The sequence below is a fragment of the Homo sapiens genome, chromosome 10, assembly GCF_000001405.40.
Source record: "Homo sapiens chromosome 10, GRCh38.p14 Primary Assembly".
Taxonomy (NCBI): domain Eukaryota; kingdom Metazoa; phylum Chordata; class Mammalia; order Primates; family Hominidae; genus Homo; species Homo sapiens.
This window is the reverse complement of record NC_000010.11, coordinates 14,010,764-14,032,739: the sequence shown is the minus strand read 5'-3', so window position 1 is coordinate 14,032,739 and position 21,976 is coordinate 14,010,764. Positions and strand designations below refer to the sequence as shown.

At 44.4% G+C, this 21,976-nt stretch overlaps 1 protein-coding gene across 1 annotated transcript in view, besides 2 other annotated features; it reads left to right on the top strand.

Moving 5' to 3' along the window:
- The window catches only part of FRMD4A (FERM domain containing 4A), a 687,219-nt gene that overhangs the window by 298,185 nt on the left and 367,058 nt on the right, over positions 1 to 21,976 (top strand). The window lies entirely within an intron of this gene.
- Positions 622 to 787: a silencer, noted in NCBI's record as "fragment chr10:14073952-14074117 (GRCh37/hg19 assembly coordinates)". NCBI's record gives its function as "represses an EF-1alpha promoter that drives an FKBP-Casp9 reporter gene in an ReSE screen in K562 erythroleukemia cells {active_cell/tissue: K562}" and the evidence as "EXISTENCE:reporter gene assay evidence [ECO:0000049][PMID:32094911]".
- Positions 12,401 to 12,450: an enhancer, noted in NCBI's record as "active region_3068". NCBI's record gives its function as "activates an Ori minimal core promoter by ATAC-STARR-seq in GM12878 lymphoblastoid cells {active_cell/tissue: GM12878}" and the evidence as "EXISTENCE:reporter gene assay evidence [ECO:0000049][PMID:35858748]".

Sequence of the window (21,976 nt, the reverse complement as noted above, 5' to 3'; positions counted from 1 at the left end):
AGGGGATGCCATGCTGGTGTCTGAGGGGTGATGGTGGACACGGCACAGAACACCGCATCCACCAAAGGGTGGGCGTCTTAGGGTGGTGTCCGCCAGCAGCTCCCCCTTGCTGGCGCCCCCTGGTGGCCTTCACTGGAAGTGGTGGCAACGTAGTTCCCAGGCAGCAACAGTGAGGGAGGGGTCGCGGGTGTGGATAGCGCTACTTGCGGTTCACCGTTTACAGACTCTCCCAAGTACAACTCTCCTGCAAGTCAAGGGGTGATAATGCTTTGTTTTAGCCGGAAGTTCACCAAGAACTATTCATGTTTCAGGAAAAGCGCTTCACTAATGGCAATACCCCAGTGGCATTTGAGTCTCCAACATGACAGACATTTGGCAATTAGCATTTGGAGTTCTGGCCTCACAGTAATTAAGAAATCGATCACTTCTTCATGATTTCTGGTTGTAGTTGCATTATCTGCAAACATTTACATATTGTAATATATGTTATTTGCTGACAGATTACTTTCCTACTATCTTTTGTTTACATAACAGAGAATTGTGCTAATTTTTTTCAATAATATGTGTAAGCAGGTTGCACGATCCATGAATTTTATTTGAGGACAGTAAGGGAGTATTTTTAAATACTTGTTAGAGCCAGCAGTGGTAGAATGCGTGAAGTCCCAGCTACTCAAGAGGCTGAGGCCTGAGGATTGCTTGAGTCTGGGAGTTCAGGGTCAGCCTGGGCAACATAGAAAGACCCCATCTCAAAAAATTAAAAACTTAGAATATTTCTTAGAACCAAGGCCGCTGACTCTAAAGGGATTAAACATCATTGATCATTCTAAGGCCCATGGGAAAGGCAATGGGGGAAGAAAAAAAAAAAATCTAAGTCAGAGTTGGGTGAAATGGATGGTGGTTCTTCCTCAAGATTGTTTTACAACCAGCAGACTTCCTGGATTTGGCAATGACATTAATGAGCAAAATGCCCCACTCAAAGTTGTCCAAAGTGCAGAACATGCAATGGTAGTAGTCGTCACATAGCTCCAGCTCCTATTCCACAGCTTCTCATTTCAGACCAGCTCTAAGAGCTTCGCCTAGAGCTCATGCCTTGGTTCTCTAAACAACTCCGGAAGGCATGGAAATCTTTAAATCCTGTGTGTCTGTTACAGATGGGAAAGAGCCATTAAAAAACATCTGTAAGGCTGGGTGTGCCTAAAATCCCAGCACTTCGGGAGGCCGAGGCAGGTGGATCACCTGAGGCCAGGAGTTCAAGACCAGCCTGACCAACATGGTGAACCCCCATCTCTACTAAAAATACAAAAATTAGCCAGGCATGGTGGTTGGCGCCTGTATTCTCAGCTACTCAGGAGGCTAAGGCAGGAGAATCACTTGAACCCGGGAGGCGGAGGTTGCAGTGAGCCGAGATTGTGCCATTGCACTCCAGCCTAGGCAACAAGAGTGAAACTCCATCTCAAAAAAAAAAAAAAATGTCTATAAAAGATTCAGGAGGATGCAGTAAAGATTAGTGTCTCCACAATGTGTATTTGAACCCTAGCAAACAAATGCCTTAGAAAGTCCACGTGGTGAAGCCCAGGCGATCATTCCTGGCACATTCCAGTTGCACACTTCTGGTGGCGACCTCGGAATCCCTGCAAGCCTCTTTGACTCCAAATGGTACAGTAAGTGACAGATGGCAAGACTGAGAAAAGATGAGTTATTATGTTTCACCCCATCATAAGTTCAGGGTACTCCTGGGTGTGCCTGACACTCATTTCCCTGCTTCTGAGTTTTGAAAGTCTTGAAATTCATCCTTGTGACTGGTCAGGGGTTGTGGGTGCATGAGCCAGGGACTGCGGTGGGGCTGGAGATGGATGCAGAGGAATAGAGGCTTTGTACTCATTGGAGAGGCTGTCAAAATGGAAAATGCATCCTGAGTGGGAAAGACAAGGTTGGTTGTGTAAGCCATCTACACAAACATGGAAGAATAAGGGCAGATGCTAAGAGTGTAGTCTTCTGAGAACCACTGCCTGATCCCAGGCCAGTGCCAGGCTGCCAGGGGCCCTATAGAAGCAAACCTTTAAATTAACATGTCTGTTCTCCAAGAGATAGCTGGAGCAGACAGGCCAGCCTTTAACTAGACCCAGACAGGCAGCTTGTTGTCTATATGGCCATCAAAAGGGCTTGTTTTACTTAAACAAACAAACAATCTTTAAAATCCTCTCTCTTTGTAGTTTGAAGGTAAGGCAGAAGCTTGATAGACAAGTATGTCATTAGGACATTAATATCAGTTGCTCTTACACATATCATTGAGAGTTTTCTTTTCCATCTTTATGGAGATATCACGGACAAAAATTGTATGTATTTAAGGTGTATGATGTAATGTTCCTATGCAGGTATACATTGTGAAATAATCACCAGGATCAAGCTAATTAATGTATCTATCACCTCATATAGTTGCCATTTTCTTTTTTGCTTTCTTTTTCTAAAAAACATTTTATGATGAGAACACTTAAGATCTATCCTCTCAGCAAATTTCAAGTAGACAGTACAGCATTGTTAACTCAGTCACATCGCTGTGCATTGGGTGCCCAGAACTTATTCCTCCTGCGTAACTGAAACTTTGTACCCCTTGACCAACATCTCCCCATTTCCCCCTCCTCCAGCTCCTGGAAACCACATTCTACCCTGTTCCTCTGTGAGTCTGGCTATTTTAGCCTTCTACCTAGAAGTGAGATGATGCAGTATATGTGTCTTTCTGTGTCTGACATTTTTCACTTAGCGTAATATCCTCCAGGTTTGGGAAAAAGACAATCTCTTCAATAAATGGTGTTGTAAAAACTGGATATCCACAACGCAGAATAATGAAACTGGACCTTTATTTTATACCATATACAAAAATCAACTCAAAAACGATTAAAAACAAACATGTAGTTTTTTTTTTTTTTTTCATGTAAACTGGATCTGTGGGACTAATTGGGTGATCAAAATAAAAGCCAGTGGTTTTGCTCTTTAAAAGTATCTCAGTACTTATTTAATAATTGGATTAAACTTCTACTTAGGTTTACTGACCCAGGCATGAAAATAGGTAACTAATGTGTCTTACTGACTGATTCTGATCCACTGTGTGGTGGTCTGATCACCTGCCCAAACCTGATCTTCAAATATGTGATCTTGCTGAATAGAAAACCACTGCTCTAGGTTAGACAGGAAAATGGTTCAAGGAACACATTTTGTATATGCAATTGCCTACTGCTTTGGGCTTACACGTGGTTGTCCTTAATAGAGATTGGTTGATATGAACTGAATTAATCTAGTTGAGGCAAGAACCTCACTTTTGCGGAGCACTCATGCGTTTGAAGCAGATGATTCATTTTCAGGGCTGCAGAAATCTATAATACTCTCTCTAGAAGAACGATCTGCCCACCGTTTCCCTAGGGAGAAGGACTAAGGAGAGACCAGCTTCATGCCTTTACAAATAATTCAGCCAATTCCCACCCCACCACCGAGACTTCTATTTTATTTGAATCTTACCACTAAAACGTTAAGCCCGCTGGAGGAGATGTTTCATAGAAATGGGAGAAAGAGATGATCATCTGAGGTTCAAAGAGAAAGAAATTTAACGGTTCTGAATTTAAAAACATACCCACAAGTGTTGTTATTTAAATGCACAGAACAAATTCCGGTGTTTGCCTACCGTATAGAGTGTGTCACTGATTAATTATTCTCAACCGGCCAGCCCCAGCAGGATGGTTCATGTCAGATCATTCTTAGGTGGCCACCAAGCTTTGATCAACGGTTAAAGTGGATTTTTTTCCAACAGAAATTTACACCATCAAAGAAATGTCTATAAATAGTAGCAGGATCCTGTGCTGTCAGCATTGAGACCTTGGCTGTCAACTCTTCAAACCCAATGATCCCTGGGCTCAACCCTAGGATCCATCACTGCCCTGATGTCCCTGCCACTTAGTGCTGCAAATCCCAACCTCAGGAGGTGTACTACATACCTCCCTCATTCTCACTCATTGCCCTTCCCACAGGGTGGGAGTATGGATATCGATACAAGCGTGCAATGTGTCATAATCACACTGTGGAAAATGGGGGTCTCCATCCCCTCAAGCATTTATCCTTTGAAAAGCAAGTTTTGTTAGTCCCTTTCCTTATGAATTAAATTTGGACAAAATGTTTTTAATATCTGGATTTTCATAAGAGATATGTTTATTTCATCAACCTTCCTCCTGGGGTGGACAAGGGATCAGAGCATGGAGAACAGTTAATGTTTCTTAGGTAGGGCAACAGCCTCTTCTCCCCCTTTGTCAGTGACTCTCCCTCATCCCCAAGTCCCAGAGTGAGTCCCCTGATAAGGAGTTACGCTCTACATTCATATTTCCCAAGAAAAAATAATGTAAGATTACTTCAATCACATCAGGCCTCCTCTTTTCTAGTCTGTAAGGTCTTGAAGAAGAAACAATATCTTAATCATCTTTGTAGGCACCAGCACCTATGCCAGTATATACCCCAGTTAGTAAATAAACATTTGTCCAAAGGGTGCATTAATGAATGAACAAATGAATGTTCACATTTGATATAAGTATTAATAAAATGTCCCCATAATTATCAAAAAAATATATAACAGGTAGTTAGAATATAGTTACTAAGAAAACATCCACAATCGATCGGCCCAAGCCAGCCTTCACCATGTTCTCATATACCGATAAGCACTGACACCCGTGAACTTGCTTGTATGAATGTATCTTCAAGTTTTTCTGTCTTAACACTGGTGTGGTTCTACTTCCTCCCTGGTACCCAGTTACTCCAAGTGGCTCATATCATTCACTAAAATCCGAATTCATGATTAATGTCTCTTCGGGGTGACATCCGCATACACTAATTTCCTGTGCATTCTTCAGGCTAACTCCCTTCTGGTCAATTTCTCTCCTTTGGAAACTATTAAAGTGACTTTTGTTGGAAGAACAGGATGTTCTGAATACATTCTTCTAGAGCCCCAGTGCTAGAGTAAGAACCACACACTCTGCCCAAATCATGTACAATTTCTTATCCCTGAAGTTTGCTATTTACATTCTAAGAGAAGCCAATGCACTGACTGTTTGATTTTTGTTTTGTTTTTGTTTTTGTTTTTGTTTGAGACAGAGTTTAGCTCTTGTTGTTCAGGCTGGAGTGCAATGGCGCCATCTCGGCTCACTGCAATCTCTGTCTCCCAGGTTCAAGCAATTCTCCTGTCTCAGCCTCCCGAGTAGCTGGGATTACAGGCACATGCCACCAAGCCCAGCTAATTTTTGTATTTTTAGTAGAGACAGGGTTTCATCATATTGGTCAGGCTGTCCACCCGCCTCGGCCTCCCAAAGTGCTGGGATTATAGGCGTGAGCCACCATGCCCGGCCGCATTGACTGTTTTTAAAGCCCCCCAAAAAATTGTCTTAGAAAATAGTCACATAAAGTCATGGTTGAGACTGGGAGACTCAACTCTCTCTTGGCAACTGCTTTAAATGGAAACAATAGCTCTTCTCCAAGGTCTGATCCCTTGTCCATCCCAGGAAGAGGGTTGATGAAACAAACAAGTAGTATATCTCTTATGAAATTCCAGCTATTAAAAACATTTTGTCCAAATTTAATTCATAAGGAAAGGGGCTAAGAGGACTTGGTTTTCGAAGGATAAATGCTTGAGGGGATGGAGACCCCCATTTTCCATGATGTGATTATGATGCATTGCATGCCTGGATCAAAATATCTCATGTAACCCATAAATATATACACCTACTATGTACCCACAAACAATAAAAATAAATTCTTTTAAAAAAAGAAAGAAAATTTGATGTTGAACACTCCTCTGAGATCGCTGGAAAACTAGAACAATGTTGCACATATGCAGATACATACCCTCCCCCTAGTCTCCTTATGATAGGGCCCCTCATGGGCATCAGGCTGTCTTGCTTGGTGAGAGAAGGCACTTGGCTTTTTGAGGACCTTCAGGGCAGCTATAGTTTTAACAAAAGATGGCAACTATGTGGCAAGAAGTCCTCTTGTGTTGAGACTTTCTTGCTGATGTGATGCAGCTGGTTATTGAATCAATTTCAGACATGGCAAAACCATGAGCCCCTAGGAAGGTCTGTAGCTCAGTTAGCCCATCAGGGAAATAGATTTTCTGTGCATTCTTGGCTATTGAAGACATTCATCTCAGCACTGCCCGCCCCTTCCTATGCCGTTCCTAACAAGAGACACCTGCTGTGGGACCCGCTCTAATTCTTCCATTAGAGGCCTGAAAACAAAATAGAAACCATAACTCGAAGAACATGCATGTACAATTTAGGACCCACTGTCAAGCTAAACTCATCTGACAAGACTCCAAATCTGCTTTTGAAATAATACAGTGCTTTTTGTCCATTTCTTTATCTTTGCCCTTAATTTTATGGTAGCTTTGTTTAAGTGTGAAATGTTGAATTAAGTCTGTGTCTATCTCCTCTGGGAAAAGAAAATTCACAGAGAGATACTAAAATGGAGAGTTTTAACCGTTCATACCCGAGAGAGCTCTGATATGCAGGGAGGGGAGTTTTACTGTAAAGCAGAAATGTTATATTTATATTTCCCTCTCGATCTCATGAGGCCCACCTTCTTTGACATCAATGTTGGCTGTTAAGTGGTCACACTCTGTTTGGAATCAGGAGACCAGAGTTTAACAGAAAGTGTTTAGGGAACTAAGAGGACAGAACTGGGCACTGGCTTGCTAGACGAAGGCTGATTTTGTTACTACAGTCACAGCAAGGATGGCCATTAGCGTCTTGACAGCCACGTGTCCCTGAGAGATTTTCTCAGGCCTGAAAAACTGTCCAAAGCAGTATCTTTCTTAGGATACGTGATTTCAGCCTTAAAAAGGGAAGAAAGTCCGACACAGGCTACCCCGTGGGTGAACCTTGAGGACATTACACTAAGTGAAATAAGCCAGTCACCAAAGGACAAACACTATATGATCTCACTTATACGAGGTCCCTAGAGTGGTCAAATTGATAGAGACACTAAGTAGAATGATGATGGCCAGGCAGCTGTGGGAGGGGAGAAATGGAGTTATTGTTTAATGGTCACAGTGTTTCCGTTTTGCAAAATGAGAAGAGTTCTGGAGATGGATGGTGGTGTAATAGTGACTATCCTTAAGGCCCCAAAATTTTTCTTAGACAATAATCATGTGATGTCATTGTTGAGACTAGCAGACTGCCTTAAATAAGAAACACTAGCTGTTATCCACAGTCTGATCCCTTGTCCATCCCAGGAAGAGCATTGATGAAATAAACAAGTCTATCTTGTTTATTCCAGTACAATGTGAACCAAGTACAAGGTGAATGTACTTAACACTACGGAACAGTACACTTAAAAATAGTTAAGATGGCAAAATTTATGTGAGGTATATTTTACCACAATTTCCAAACATTTTTAAGTTAAAAAAAAAAAGCAAACTTTGGAAGCAGAAAAGGAGAAACTGCATTTGCAAGATTTCGTGGATATTCTGTAACTGGCAGAAGCTTGAGGAATTGACACGAGATATTAAATTTTTTCCTTGATGTTTATCTACTCTTGCAGCAGAGGGGGTGCATAGGATGGAGAAGAAAGACAGTGTGAGGGATCTAATAATATTCTGAGGAAAAATTTAGTACCCTCACAACTTTCGTTTCCTTGTTTTTCACAAGACTATGTGCTTTTCAGTCATCGTGTACAAAACAAGGTCTGATACGTTCTCTACAAAGAACTATTGATGGTGTGTCTGTGTGAATTGCCCTAGCATTGGTCACAGCCAACTTCTGTGGGACCCACTGCCCCCGTTCGACAATACACTCCAGTGTGTTTAGCCATTTATGAAAGGTCAGAAATCAACTGAGAAATGGGCTAGAGTCAAAAACATGTGGCCCTATAAATATCAGAGTCAGACAGTCTATTCCATTTTCCCCACTCTTGCTTTCACCCCATCTCACTTCTCTCTTTCACTCACTGGTGAGGTTCTCTGCGCTTGGCCAGCACCTCGGACTGTGAAGTTACACAGGGAAGGCAGTGGCTGCAGTCTTCATCTGGTGGCCTCGCTTTATGCCCATTCTGATCCCATAGCACCATTATTAGAGTTTGGTGTTTGTTTTTTCAAAATATCCTTGTACAGTTTCTGGCTACACAGCTCGAGCAGTCCAGCCTGCGATGTTCTGCTTTCTTTTAAGGGTTTCTACTTCCCATTAGTGGCAACCCTGCCTTGTGATCAAATTTGACGCCGACGGTGTTTCCTGAGCTGGGGAGTTTGCAGATCTGATCTGTCAGCGGGGACTGAGAGCAAATCGGGACATTCATCATGACTTTGGCTGCCAAGCTGGAAGACTTTGAGCTGACACTGGAGCACCTGCTCATGGATGTGTTTGTAAGTAAAGGCTTTTCCTATTCCAGGCGCAAGAGAGTCTCCCCTGCCACTCCGAAAGTCCTTGGGACCCTGTCCCCATTACGGAATCTCATTCTGATCTGCAACTGTGCAGTTCCCAAGTCCACATGATTTATTCTTACTCATGTGCGGTCAGGGGAGAAAACCGTAAAGTTCCTCAGTGCCTGAGTGGCACAGAATAGTCCATGCAGATTAAATAGTAGAGATGTGGGTTTAGAATCAAGTCACTTGCAGAAATCTGAATGAATAGGGTGAAGAAATAGAAACCATTTGCCAGAAGAGATCAAAGCAGCTTCAGTAGCTATTCCCTGAATGAACCACATTTGTTTGTTTATGAAGTGACCATCCCAGAAAAAAAAGTGGGGAGGGTGCTCAAAATGCTAATTTTTTTTTTAGAGGATGCTGAATCTAGGATAGAAGCATGAACTTCACTGTCCCCAGAATTCCAGTGTGTGGGTCCCTGCTACTTGGAGAGGCATTCAGTTACCAAGAGTTCCTCAGGAAGTGATTTTGTGGCCTGAGGCTGTTTGAGAGATTCTCTGCTAAAGAAAAGAGCAGCTGACAAGGACACTTCTATTCCTGTGATGATTTTAGCGATGCAGGCTTTGAAAACTGCAGGGCACGCACTGCAACCTTCACATCATTTCTATCTTAAACCAACCACACTCTTTCTTCCAGTACTTTTCTCAGGGTTTTCTGTTGGCCACGGGTCTGTTCGTTCTGTGTTGTTCATAGGGGTTTAGGGAACTGCAAGACTGTGAAATACACAGGTGGTAAGGCAGCTGAAAGGTCTTCTCGATCCAAGAACAACACTGCGCTGCCCCCGGGAAGGCGGCTGTGAGCTGTTACCTTTCCAGGACCCGCCAGTCTGCGTCTCGCAGCTGGAGAAGGCTATGGAAGGTTGGCGCTTTCTTTATAGTACATCACTGAGTCCTTTTCAGGAACCTTTCAGGGAATGGTGTGTTTTGGCAGACGTGAGAGTCTGAGGCTTTTTTTTTTCTTTATTAATTTAAAATTTGTCTTCAAATTGAGGCAACATTGTGCTGGCAGAATTCCCAGAGGGAATCGCCCTTCCCAGGGCTGGGTGTGGGGCTCTGGGCGACTCGCATTCATTCTGACCTTCGTGTTGGAAGTTATGCCTGGAGGAGGAATGCGTCCAGAAGGGAGAGCGTCCTTCTGGGTTTCCAGGGATGGGAGATTCATGGCCAGGGTCATGACTTTATGAGAAGTATGAGTAGAAACTGAACTGCAGACAGGGAGGTTTCTTGGACCACTTCCTCTGCCTGGCTGCCACTGCCTGGGATGGTGGGGATGGTGGCTGATGGCTGTGGAGTCACTCTTGGGGGTGATCTGTGGCATGCCAAAGTGTTGGTGTGAGTTTGGTCGTATTGGAGGAAACGAATTAATCAGGGAACTGTTTTATTTCAATACCACAAAGTCATTAATACATTTCCCATTCTCTCCTTAACTTCCCCTACCCGCAGGCTCCTCTCCTAACACTTCTACCACCTTCGTCTCCTTTCCCAGCTCCAAGATGCACTCCACCTTGAAAGAGAATGGGGTCAGACACTCCATCCTTTTCTCTAAATACAACCCATCTTTTCATAGCCCCAGTGTGCATCTTTGACTTATCACTTGAACTCACCTTCTCATCCTCCCACAGCCAGCACTTCTCCAGTTCTTCCATCCATTATCATCTCTAGCCCAACCTCCCCACACTCAATTTTTACCCCTTATTTACATAGCATTTGCCTGCCCTCTGTAGCAACATTTGTGCCCCTGCTTCTCCCTTGAGAAGCATTTAAATCACATTTAACATTATGCAATGTTTATATTAAATCATGTGATTCCAACAAATTCAGGCAGCTAGACAAAGTTTGGGCCAGATCACACAAGGTTTTGGAGGTCAAGTTCTCTTTTAAGCCTATCTCTTATAATTTCCCATTGTGAGTTCCCCACTCCAAACTGGTCAACATTAGTCTCTGCAAGACAGCGAGCCTCTTCTCATTACTATGTCTTTGTGCTTGTAATTCTGCTTCCTCTTGACCTGTCTGAAGTTCATACATCCTTCAAGCCTCAATGAAATTCTCTCCCCTCTGCGAAGCTTAGACACGTGGATTTCTGTCGCACTTCCTCTCTGTACCACTCATTATTTGTTGACCTCACTTAGTTAATTCTCTCATTCTGTGTCTCTGTCTTGCCTCCTCCTCAAGGTGATCCTGAGATCCAAAAGGCAAGGACACCTTTGTAACCTCCATGGCACCTAGAATATTGTATACAAGGACCTCAATAGATACATATCAATCGCTTGAGTTTTAACTAGTATATTTTTACTGTTATTGTAAAATTTAACTTTTGCTGGGAGCAATAAAATGCAAAAAAAAACGCAGAAATCTCATGATTGCATGCATTTCTTACCAGGTTGTACTCTGGTGTCTGACACAGTCATTTCAGATGCCGTTCTGGTGATATACTGAAGAAATCACTGGATGCAAAAATAATAGGGACTCTTTTTTGTTTGTAATTTGTTATTGTAAGATATCGGTGAGGTGCACAAAAGTCCATAAAACATGTATGGATAGTCTAAAGGATTATTTACAACATGAACACCCTGTGTAACCACCACCCAGATTAAAAATGAAATATTGTGAGTGAGGACTCCAGGAGTCTCTGAGTATCCCCTCTAGATTAAAATTCTCTCCCTCCCCCAGAGGGAAACAGAACCCTCCCCCAGTTTTTATTTATTTATTTTTATTTTATTGTATTTATGTATTTATTTGAGTCAGGGTCTCCCTCTATCCCCCAGGCTGGAGTGTGGTGACATGATGTTGGCTCACTGCAGCCTCGACCTCCTGGGCTCAAACAATCCTCCCACCTCAGCCTCCCAAGTAGGTGGGACTACAGGTATAAGCCACCATGCCCAGCTGTTTTTTTTATTATTTTTTTTTTTTATTTTTGTGGAGATGAGGTCTTGTTATATTGCCCAGGCTTGTCTTGAATGTCTGGGTTCAAGCAAACATTTTGCTTCAGCCCCGAAAGTGCTAGGATTATTACAGGTGTGAGCCACCATGTCTGGACCCCCCAGCTTTTATATAAAGATTTTTTTTATTTTCTGTATAGCTTCCCCACCTATATACACATCCCCAAAGAAAATTGAGAGGGAGCTTTAAAGTCTCATGGGCTCAAGTCTCAATCCCAGCTTGGTACCACTTCCTAGATGTGAGATTGTTGGCAAGCATTTCGTCTTTGTGAGCTTCAGTTTCCTTATCAATACAGTGCAGCTAATGCTACCCGGCTTACAGGATCATGGTGAAGATTCAGAAGAGGTGACATAGAGCAAGTGTCCAGGGGTGTGTCTGATGCCAAGGAGGCACATGGTAGGTCAGTTCTCTTCATCCCTTGCCTTGCCCCTAGAAAAGGCATCTGTTTTAAGTCGCCTGCTGCAATCCATCATCCCCCTTTCCTCCACCTCTACAGCTCTCTCCCACTATTTCTCCCTAACCTTTCCCCCTTGAATGATTGGGAATTTGGGTTCTTTCTAAGCACAGCCTTCACTCCCTGCCTGAACCACAGCAACCTGTGGCTGTTTCTCCTGCTACCAAAATTGCAGGAGCCCTGTGCTCCTGCTGGCTTCCCTAGCATGGCCTCTAAACAAAACAAAAAAAAAAATTGGGGCTGCCTTTTTTCCAGTCACCTTCCAGAGGAGTCAGGGAGATTGCCTGATGCCCCATGGGGTTTGAGAGGCTAAAAACCTAAATAAGAACAAAAGAAGACTTGACATCTATAGGCCAGTGTGTCCTCTCCCAGTCTTGCTGGGGACTGTAGCCTTTCTCATATGAGTGGGATGGTCTAGAAAGAATATTTGCATCAGAAGCCCATTAGCCTTGGGTTTCCTCTATAGCTGATGGCATGCTCATTAGGCTGTCATCCCACTATCTCAAGAACAGCTGTTTCCATATTGACACTTCTTTTCTGGGATTACAAAGGGCCACTGGGGGGCTTTGGGGGAATGCAAGGCTTCTGCAAGATGAGATAAAAGGGACAGATCAGACTGGTGTTTCATAATTAGTTGTCATCACTCTGGGGCGTCTCTGGCTGCTGCTATGCTGCTGGGTTCGTGAGAGGAAGCAGCACACATGTTCGCGTGCACAAGCTCGCACCTGCAAATGTACATGCAGGATCCTGCACCAATGCCAAGAGCACAAGACGGGAGATCAGTCCAAGCACACGAATGGCTCTTCAGGACAAGCTCCAGAAGTGTTGGCAGTGCCCTCAGTGACGTCTTTGTCCTGTTTCGTTTTGTCTGTCTGCATCTCGTTTCAGAAGATTTAAAATGCTTCTCTCCGAGGCATACCTTGGAGGCTATGCATTCAGCAGCCATTCCAACAGCAGGTCCATAGATGAGGAGCCCCACAACGCACCCCAAAGGAAAAAAAGAAACAGAGGAAATCAAGCAGGTTTCCTGAAACATTTCTCATTGGATTAAATAACCCAGTATCAGACTCAAATCTGTCCTTTCAGAAAGAGGCCTGTGGTTCTAGGTCACCCTCCACAGCCCTACTTCTGCTACTGACATTGCATGGGCACGTTCTCAAAGGCATCAGCCCCATCACTGTCCATCTGATCTGGCTCAAATCCCCTGTTTATATTGATCCTTCTGTTTATAATTTAATTTTTATTTTTATCAAAATAATATGTGTACATGGCAATATTCATAACATTTGAAAGCTGAAGAGTACTAGAAGGCTTAGAAAGAAAAACCCAGGCTCCAGTCCTTTCCTGCCAACTTATGAGTCTCTTTCCCTATAAACACATGTGTCTCTTCCCCCTCTGTCTACTGAATATATTGGCATCACAGCTTAAATCAAAATTCAGTTTTATTATGAATATTAAAATATTATTTACATCTGAGAAATGTTATACATTATGATGGCATGTCTTGGATTTTACAACTTTATGTTTTTCCTGGAGTTGATAATTGCCTTATTTCAGTGTTTGCTTTATGTTCTATGTATTTATCAATCATTTTTATCTAAGATTTTCAATAGAGCTATGTAACTCCTCTCAATTTGGTAAATTCATCAGATACTTAACCCACTCCTTTCTTTTTTTTTCTTTTTTGAGACATTCTTTCTGAAGCTCTACTTCCTCCTGCATCAATTGGATTAGCTCTTCTCTTGGTCTCTTGCGTGACTGTCTTCTTGAGGATCCTCTTTTCTATTATTCTGGGAACTCCCTTGGTACCTCTCCTGTGATCAATCCTTTTCCTGGAATTCATATTCCCTTCTAACATTCTTCTGCTGGAGACATCTTCCAGTAAAGGTGCATGAGAAGTAAATGTGCGTGTTATTGAATGTCTGCCCTCACACTTAACTAATAACTTATCTAGTGATCGGTATTCTCTTGTTGAAATCCAGAGCTGCATTTACAGGCTTGACTCTTCTCCTAAGTTCCAGGTCAAAATGTTCAGGCATCAGAAGCTCTGCATGCCCCGAGCTACTCATTATCATCTCCCCAAATCTTCCCCTCTTCCTGTGCATTTATTTTGACTAATAGGACCATCCTTCCTGTAGTCTGTCAGAATAGAAATTGTAAAAGAACAATGTCCTAGTTCTGCACTTAATCATTTCTCATTTGGACAATTGCAATAATCTTGTACCTGCTCTCTTGGCCTCCAATATACCTTGGTTCTTCATTCTACCATTCATCTTTTATCAATCAAGTCCCCAAAACTCAGATTGGATGGTGTCACTTCCTCCCTAAAAGTAACTTAAAATGGCTCCCCCTTGCTCATGGAATGAGATCTAAAATATATTGTTCTATAGTATGCAAGTCAGAATCTTGCCTTAATGTCATTTTTTTTTTTTTTTTTTTTTTTTTGAGATGGAGTCTTGCATTGTCGCCCAGGCTGGAGTGCAGTGGCACGACCTCGGCTCACTGCAACCTCTGCCTCCCGGGTTCACACCATTCTCCTGCCTCAGCCTCCTGAGTAGCTGGGACTACAGACGCCTGCCACCATGCCCGGCTAATTTTTTTTTTTTTTTGTATTTTTAGTAGAGACGGGGTTTCACCATGTTAGCCAGGATGGTCTATGATCTTCTGACCTTCTGATCTGCCTGCCTCGGCCTTCCAAAGTGCTGGGATTACAGATGTGAGCCACTGCACCCAGCTGCCTTAATGTCATTTCTTACCACCCTTGTTCTCACAGACAGAACTGTGCTATCTCATGTAATTTTCATGTCAACAGTCTATTAACTGCATTCGTGCCATAGAGGTTTAAAATTCTTAGAATGGAGTACCCCCAGCAAGCAAGAGCAGTTAGAATCCCCTACTCATCCTCATCTACCTCTAAGGATTTGTCCACTGGAGGTGTTTTACCCATTCTGGTCACAGCTTGCACTTTGGTGTTTTGATTTACAGGATGTTGGGTATACTCTAGAACACATTCAACATAAACCATATTCCCATGACATGAGGCTTCAAAGAGACTGTCTTTCTAACAGATTCAAGATGCTTTCTTTTCTTCCTTCCTCACTTTGGGAAAATATACCACGTGACTCATCCCAGATGTCCATGAGCAAATGGACAGTTGACCCTGGGAGTGATATGTCCCTGGGCACAGGAGCGAAAGGAATCTGATGGCCCTAAAGAAAGCCATTGTCCTTTGCAGCACCAGAGGGATTACTTGAACCAAGATGAACTATTCCCCTGTTGAAGAAAATTGCTTGTTAAATTTCTCCTCCTGGAAAAGGAAGCATGGAAATTAGAAACAGATGTAAAAGTTGATCATTCGCCACCCAATCCTTATTAAGACACCTGAAATTTGAGAGCTAAGCCTAGTAAAAATTGAGTCAACAGCTATTGGCTCTGTTTGGAGGTATGCTATATATATTCAGCGAATCCTGGGCAGTCAATACCATAGATAAGGACGTTATTTATATTGCCATTCCAGGTGCAATTACACAGTTTACCCTGTGAAACTGCACTTCATAAACATGGCAAATCAATGCTAGTTATCAAAATCCATCCACGACTGACAGCACATGAAAACGGGCTTTGCAAAATGATCTTGAAAGCCAATCTACACAGCCAGCTTCACAGAGGTCAGCTTATTACCCGTTTAATCACATGGCCATCTTGCAGGAGCGTTATTCCTCAAACCCTGGGCATGACATCACTCCTAATAGCACACACAATAAGCCATTACTACCATGTAGAATAGCCTTTAGCCAGGCTATAGCCACTGATGACCTGATTTGGCCTCATGCTGGGAAGGGCAAGTGGAGTTCTTTTGGGGACAAATCATATCAAGACCAGATGTGAAGGACCTTCGTGTGGAGGCATAAAATCCATCTGCAGCTTGTGAGCAAGATCTCTGTCTGTGGATGACGAGCTGAACAGCCTGCAAGGATGCTGATGGGCCTTGTCCTTGATGTCCATAAGGCAAGGCCTTCTGACACAGATACCGACAAATCTTCCACATGGGTCATTCATATTTGACATTCTCTATGGCTAGATCCTTGCCAGAAAGATCGAGTGAGATCCTGGGACACCTGATTTTCACATGAGGTTTCCATGCAGCAGATGGTGCATTTTCCTCCCTGCCCTGCAAGAGGATAAGGTCTAGCTTCCTTTGTCATGTGTGATTTTCATTTGATGGGGATAGGGGGTCTTAACCTGGGTGAATTAATTCTGTACTCATAGTTACTCAAATGAAATCTACTAAACAGGGAGCTCTCAAAGGTTCAAGAAGAAGTCTGTTTACCACTCAAAATAGGTGGCTAAGCCGGATGGCCTTTAAGGAATTCAGGCAGATGAAACGTGGACCTTATAGCAGAACAGACAGGAAGAGGCAGATGGCTAGACGGTGAAGTGCAGGAGGCTGTTGTGGCAAATGAGACAACAGGAAAACCGTGTGCAGAATTGAGACTGGAAGAAAAGGGAAGGTGCACACGTCTTGTTTACAAAGAACTTTCACAAACATTGTTTCATCCTGTTGGGTAGGTGTTCAGCAGACTTGACATTCTCTATGACTGATGCTCGCTATGATGAAGATTGAGTGATTGATGCTTGCTATGATAAAGATTTAGTGAGATTCTGGGATGTCCAATTAGCACGTGAAGTTCCCATGCAGCACAGGCTGCGTTTTCCTCCCTGCCCTGGAAGAGGGCCAGGTCTACTTCCCCTTGTGATGACATTTTCACATGCAGACTCAGGGCTAAGGCCAGCAGTCTTTCACTTCACCACAGACGCCTCATCACAGAGAGGAGCTGAGTTTGAGGAACAAAAGAAAACTCTTCCAATAAGCAAAAGTTATCTTGCATCCCCAGTTCTTGGCTCAGCACTTGATCCGTTGTAGTGACACAGAAGAGGGAGGCGGTCAATGGACACTGGAGCCTCTCATTGTGACCCTGAGTGAGTTACTTCAGTCTCTGTACCTCAGTCCTTTTGTCTTCATCCAGGGAAAATAAGAGTACCTATTTGATAAAGTGTCATGAGAACTAACTAAATTATATATTTTAAAACTTTAGAATAGTGCCTGTAATAGAATATGCCGTATAAGAGAATTGCCTTATTTTATTAGACACTCAATAAAATAATGGTTGAATGAATGATGTAACATAAGCAATAAATGAAAATAATACAATTCATTTAGACAAGGATGAAGCCAGTATCATGGAGCTTGGTACAGAATACAAGAAGAGCATGGGCAGTGTCATGGCAGAAGCGAGGAGTTGACCACTTATCCTAGAACACCACACCCTCTCCCACAGCAAGGATAAGCAGGAGTCAAACTGCACAATTCAGTCTAAACATCCTTTATCTCATTTGCCTGTCTGCTCATGGAGGACAAGTATTAAATGAAGCCTAGACTGCAGTCCAGCAAGGCAAGGGAAGGAAGAGAGAGTCAAGGAAGGGAAGGGGAAGGAGGGGAGGCGAGGGGAGGGGAAGAGAAAAAGGAAGGAAGGAAGGAGAAAAGGGAAGGGAAGAAAGAGAGGAAGCAAGGAGAGAAGAGGAAGGGAAGAAAGGATGAAAGGAAGGGAGGGAGGGAAGGAAGGAAGAAAGGAAGGAAAGGAAGGAAGGGAGGGAGGGAGGGAGGGAAGGAAGGAGAAAGGGAAGGGAAGAAAAGATTAAAGGAAGGGTGGGAGGGAGGGAGGGACAGAAGAAAAGGAAGGAAAGAAGAAAGGAAGGAAGGAAGGAGAAAGGGAAGAGAAGAAAGGATGAAAGGAAGGGTGGGAGGGAGGGAAAGAGAGAGAGAGAAGGAAGGACAGAAGAAAAGGAAGGAAGAAAGGAAGGGAGGGAGGAAGGAAGGAAGGGAGGGAGGGAGGAAGGAAGGAGATAAGAAAGGATGAAAGGAAGGGAGGGAGGGAAGGAAGGAAGGAAAGAAGGAAGAAGAAAGGAAGAAGTAAGGAAAGGAAGGAAGGGAGGGAGGGAGGGAAAAATGTATCTGCCCACCCTAGCTAGCTACAATTCTGCCTAGAGTCTTCCAAATGGCACAGGAGGAGGAAAAGTCTGTCCAAAGACAGATACTGCAAACAGCGCACTGTGTCAGAGCAAACCGTAGGTAAAACCAAGAGAAAGCTTTCCCACACTGGTGAGCTGGAGATAATCTCGCAGCCCCTGGGCATGTGAGGTCTGGTGATAGGAGTGTTGCTTGATGTCTTGGTCCTGTTCTTACGGATATTGGGTTTCATGTTTGGCCTAAATTCCAGCCAGTTTTCAAACAGAAAATTATGGATGTAGGCAGCCTTTCTGTTTGTCTAACCTCAGTCCCAGCTTCCTCTAATGAGACGTGACATGAATTACCTAGGCTATAGCTGGGTGGGGAGGTAATGGGATGGAGATGGAATGTTGAAGAAACACAGGGTTTCCCTTCCAAACTCCCCCCTCCTGCTCTAGGAATTTTCCAAGTCTTTTAAGAATGTACTTTTTGAAGATTCAGCTATTTTTCATTTTTGTATTGATATATAATACACGTACATATTAATGGGGGGCGTGTGATATTTTGTTACATGCATAGAATGTGTAATAATCGAGTCAGGGTATTAGGAAGAATATGTTTTCTTCTTGCGTGTGTTTTGGTTCAATTTCATCCTATTGCTCCTCTTCTCTTCTTCACATGACAATAATTACAACACCAACTTCCATCAAAGCGACGGTTTCTCCCATCCCCCAGCTGGGGGCAGGTTCGGGTGATGGCTGCAGTGGGAACCATGGGTGTGTGTCTCCACCTCCAAATCCTTCCCCTGCATCCCCACCCACCTCCCCGATACTCACTGCGCTGTCTTCACCCGTCCAGGGCTGAAGTGGACCAGAGGCCAGGGCCTAGCAGGGAGCTTTCATGCCTGAGCTGTCATGGGCTGGCCTTGGACTTTGGGTTTTTTGTTTGTTTGTTTTTGTTTTGAAATGGAGTTTCTCTCTTGTTGCCCAGGCTGGAGTGCAATGGCACAATCTCGGCTCACTGCAACCTCCGCCTCCCAGGCTCAAGTGATTCTCCTGCCTCAGCCTCCCGAGTAACTGGGATTACAGGGATGCACCACCACACCTGGCTAATTTTGTATTTTTGGTAGAGACGGGGTTTCTCCATGTTGGTCAGGCTCGTCTTGAACTCCCGACCTCAGGGGATCCACCTGCCTCAGCCTCCCAAAGTGCTGGGATTACAGGCATGAGTCACCCTGCCTGGCTGGGCTGGCCATGGTTTTCTCTGGGACTAATGGGTGTTTAAGCCCACCTCTTGTCCTTGCAGGGTGCCTTGTGGGTTTTTTGCTGGGGATCTCTGGGGATTTATCTCTGCAATTCCCTGGTCCAAGAGATGTCTCTCTTCCAATAAGCCATTTCAGGCACCTCTCTTTCCCTGAGCCCCACACCCCTCTTTTGTTTCCCTCTCCCTCCTCCTACAGCCTGGAGGTGAGGTCATTGAGGGATTTCAAACCTGCTTCTCAGACACCCCTTGTGCATGTCCTGCTTAGAGGCCTAACTCCTTGAGTGGCGTGTGGGAGAGGGTGGGAATAGTTGCCATCTATTGCCTGGAGCCCTCAAACGACACTGAGAAAGAGCCCGCTTTTAATACCCTGCAAGATGTTACAAGGAAGTATGGCTCAAGATGGAGGTTAGGACAGATATTTACAATGTCAGCCTTGGATTGTTTCTGTTTCCTTCATGTAAGTGGTATTTCGCCTTTTTTGCAAAGGAAAGAATGATAAGGAACAAAATCAGAAAGGCCCCTTAGGTCACCTTCCCATCTCTTTCTCCAGCTCACCATCCTTTGCCCCTTCTGCTGGGGCTCATGGTGGCCTCAGCCTGCCTTCTGCCCTGGGAGTGTCACGACAGCATCTATTATACAGTGTGACCTCAGTCACGTCCCCAGCTGAAACCTGTCTGTCCTGTGGCCTGTCCTTTCAGTATTCTGCCAAATGAACAAAATAAAGCAATGAAAATGAGTTTATTTAGTGCCAGCAAGTGGCAGTTCTGAGGTCAGATGCACATGTGAGTGGACTTCCAGGGGACAGACAGGCCAGCCTCACTAGTGGTAATTTCAGGCACTGGGCAAAAGATTGGACAAATAGTTGAGGCCGGCTCATCAGGATCACCCTGGGCTGCAATGACCAGGCTGCATGTCCGTGCCAGCACCCAGGATTCCATCAGGAGATCATTTACCCTTCACGTGGCTTTTCAGCATGCATCCGCGCGGGCACTGGCTTCATCTATGAGTCTGCTCCTGTGACCGTGCATACACGTTGGCTCGGCAGACTCTTCCCCCTCCTGCTGCTGCCTCCATTATCACCAACACTGCAAAATGTTCTCTCTCCAATGGAACATTCCCCCCATTCCCGCCACCCCTTTCACACCCTGCTGTTCGTGACCAAGAACACCCATTTGCTTTGATACATCTTGCTGTGGCATGTCAAGACCATTGACTTTCCTGAAACCTGGCTCAATGGATTCCTATGCATTTTCCTTCCAGGGTTTTAATGCAAACATTTTCATTGAGACTGGAAGGAAATGTTCAAAGCAAACAAACAAAAGGCTTTGCCAGCCTTAAGTGTGCTGCTCCCTGAGGCATCAAAAGCAGCAGCTTCGGAGAGTCTAGAACTGAAGAGTGTCTTCTACATCTCCCTCTCCTGCACACAGTTTGTTGACTGCCCCCCATCCCTGAGGCATCTTTCCCCCCTCAACTCCCACCCCACATCCAGCAGCCATTAGGCCATTCCTGGATGCTGAGGGTACCGTGTCATCCACTATCCTGACAACAACCTGCTCTTTCTATGTAATATTGTTCCATAGGTTTTCCTCTTGCTGTTCTTTTTTTTTTTTTTTCCTTTGAGACAGAGTCTCATGCTGTCTGCCTCCCAGGCTGGAGTGCAGTGGTGCAATCTCAGCTCGCTACAACCTCCACCTCCCAGGTTCAAGCCATCCTCCTGCCTCAGCCTCCCAAGTAGCTGGGATGACAGGTGCCCACCACCATGCCCAGCTAATGTTTGTGTTCTTAGTAGAGACGGGGTTTCACTATGTTGGCCAGGCTGGTCTTGAACTCCTGACCTCAGGTGATCCACCTACCTCTGAGTCCCAAAGTGCTGGGATTACAGGCATGAGCCACCGTGTCCCGCCTTCTCTTGCTGTTCTTTTCAGTTCACCCTTAATTCACCATTTCCCATTCCTTTGGTCCAATGTCTCGGTCCCTCAGGGCTGGCCCAGAGCCACATATACTCAGATCTATGGCTCTCCCTTTCCCTGCCCTGCCTATATGGCTATTTCCACAGTTCCCTTTCAACTGGCTGGAAGATGCTGCCAGGAGATTGGAAGGCAGATGGAAAGAAGGGCCAGGCATTTCTCCTCACCTCCCCTTGACCATGGATGAAGGCTTCAGCAGCGGCTGAGTCTCCCACTGGATGGGTCTCCAAGGTTCTAGACTCCACTAGGTGACCTGGCCCCTGGCTCTAATAACTCGGCTCCTCCCTTGACCCCTTAGGCCAGCCTCCCTGCCTCCCCCTTTGTGGTTCTTAGCCCCTCCGTCCCCTGTGCCCAACTCCTGGTGACATCAAAGCAGCAGCTCCAGAAACTCTAAAATTGCTCAATCTAACAATTTCCTATATTGACATTCTCTTCTTTTCAAAGACAGAGTTTTCCATTTTCCTGTTGGGTTCAATGGATGTATCTTCCTTTGGGATTTCCAAACTGCTGTAATCTGATAAAGTCCTGTAGGACAGGCAAGCTGGGCCCTGAAATCACACCAGTTGACTTTGGTTTTCATCCTAGCTCTGACATTTCTAGCTGTGCTGCCTTGGCCAACTTACTAAGCCCCTCTGAGCACCAGTTTCTTCACCACTGAAACAGGGATAATGAAACGCATTTCCTCCATGGAAGTAGCCTTTGATAACCTCACAGCACATGGCCTGCCAATGGGTAGGTGCTCAGTGAACATTCATTCCCCTTGCTTCTCCTAAAGTGGTCATAACTGTGAGAGTATGAATGCATATCCCTTCCGGGGAAACATATTTGTATTCTAACAATGGAAAGAAATACTTGGCCAGGCATGGTGGCTCATGCCTGTAATCCTAGCACTTTGGGGGG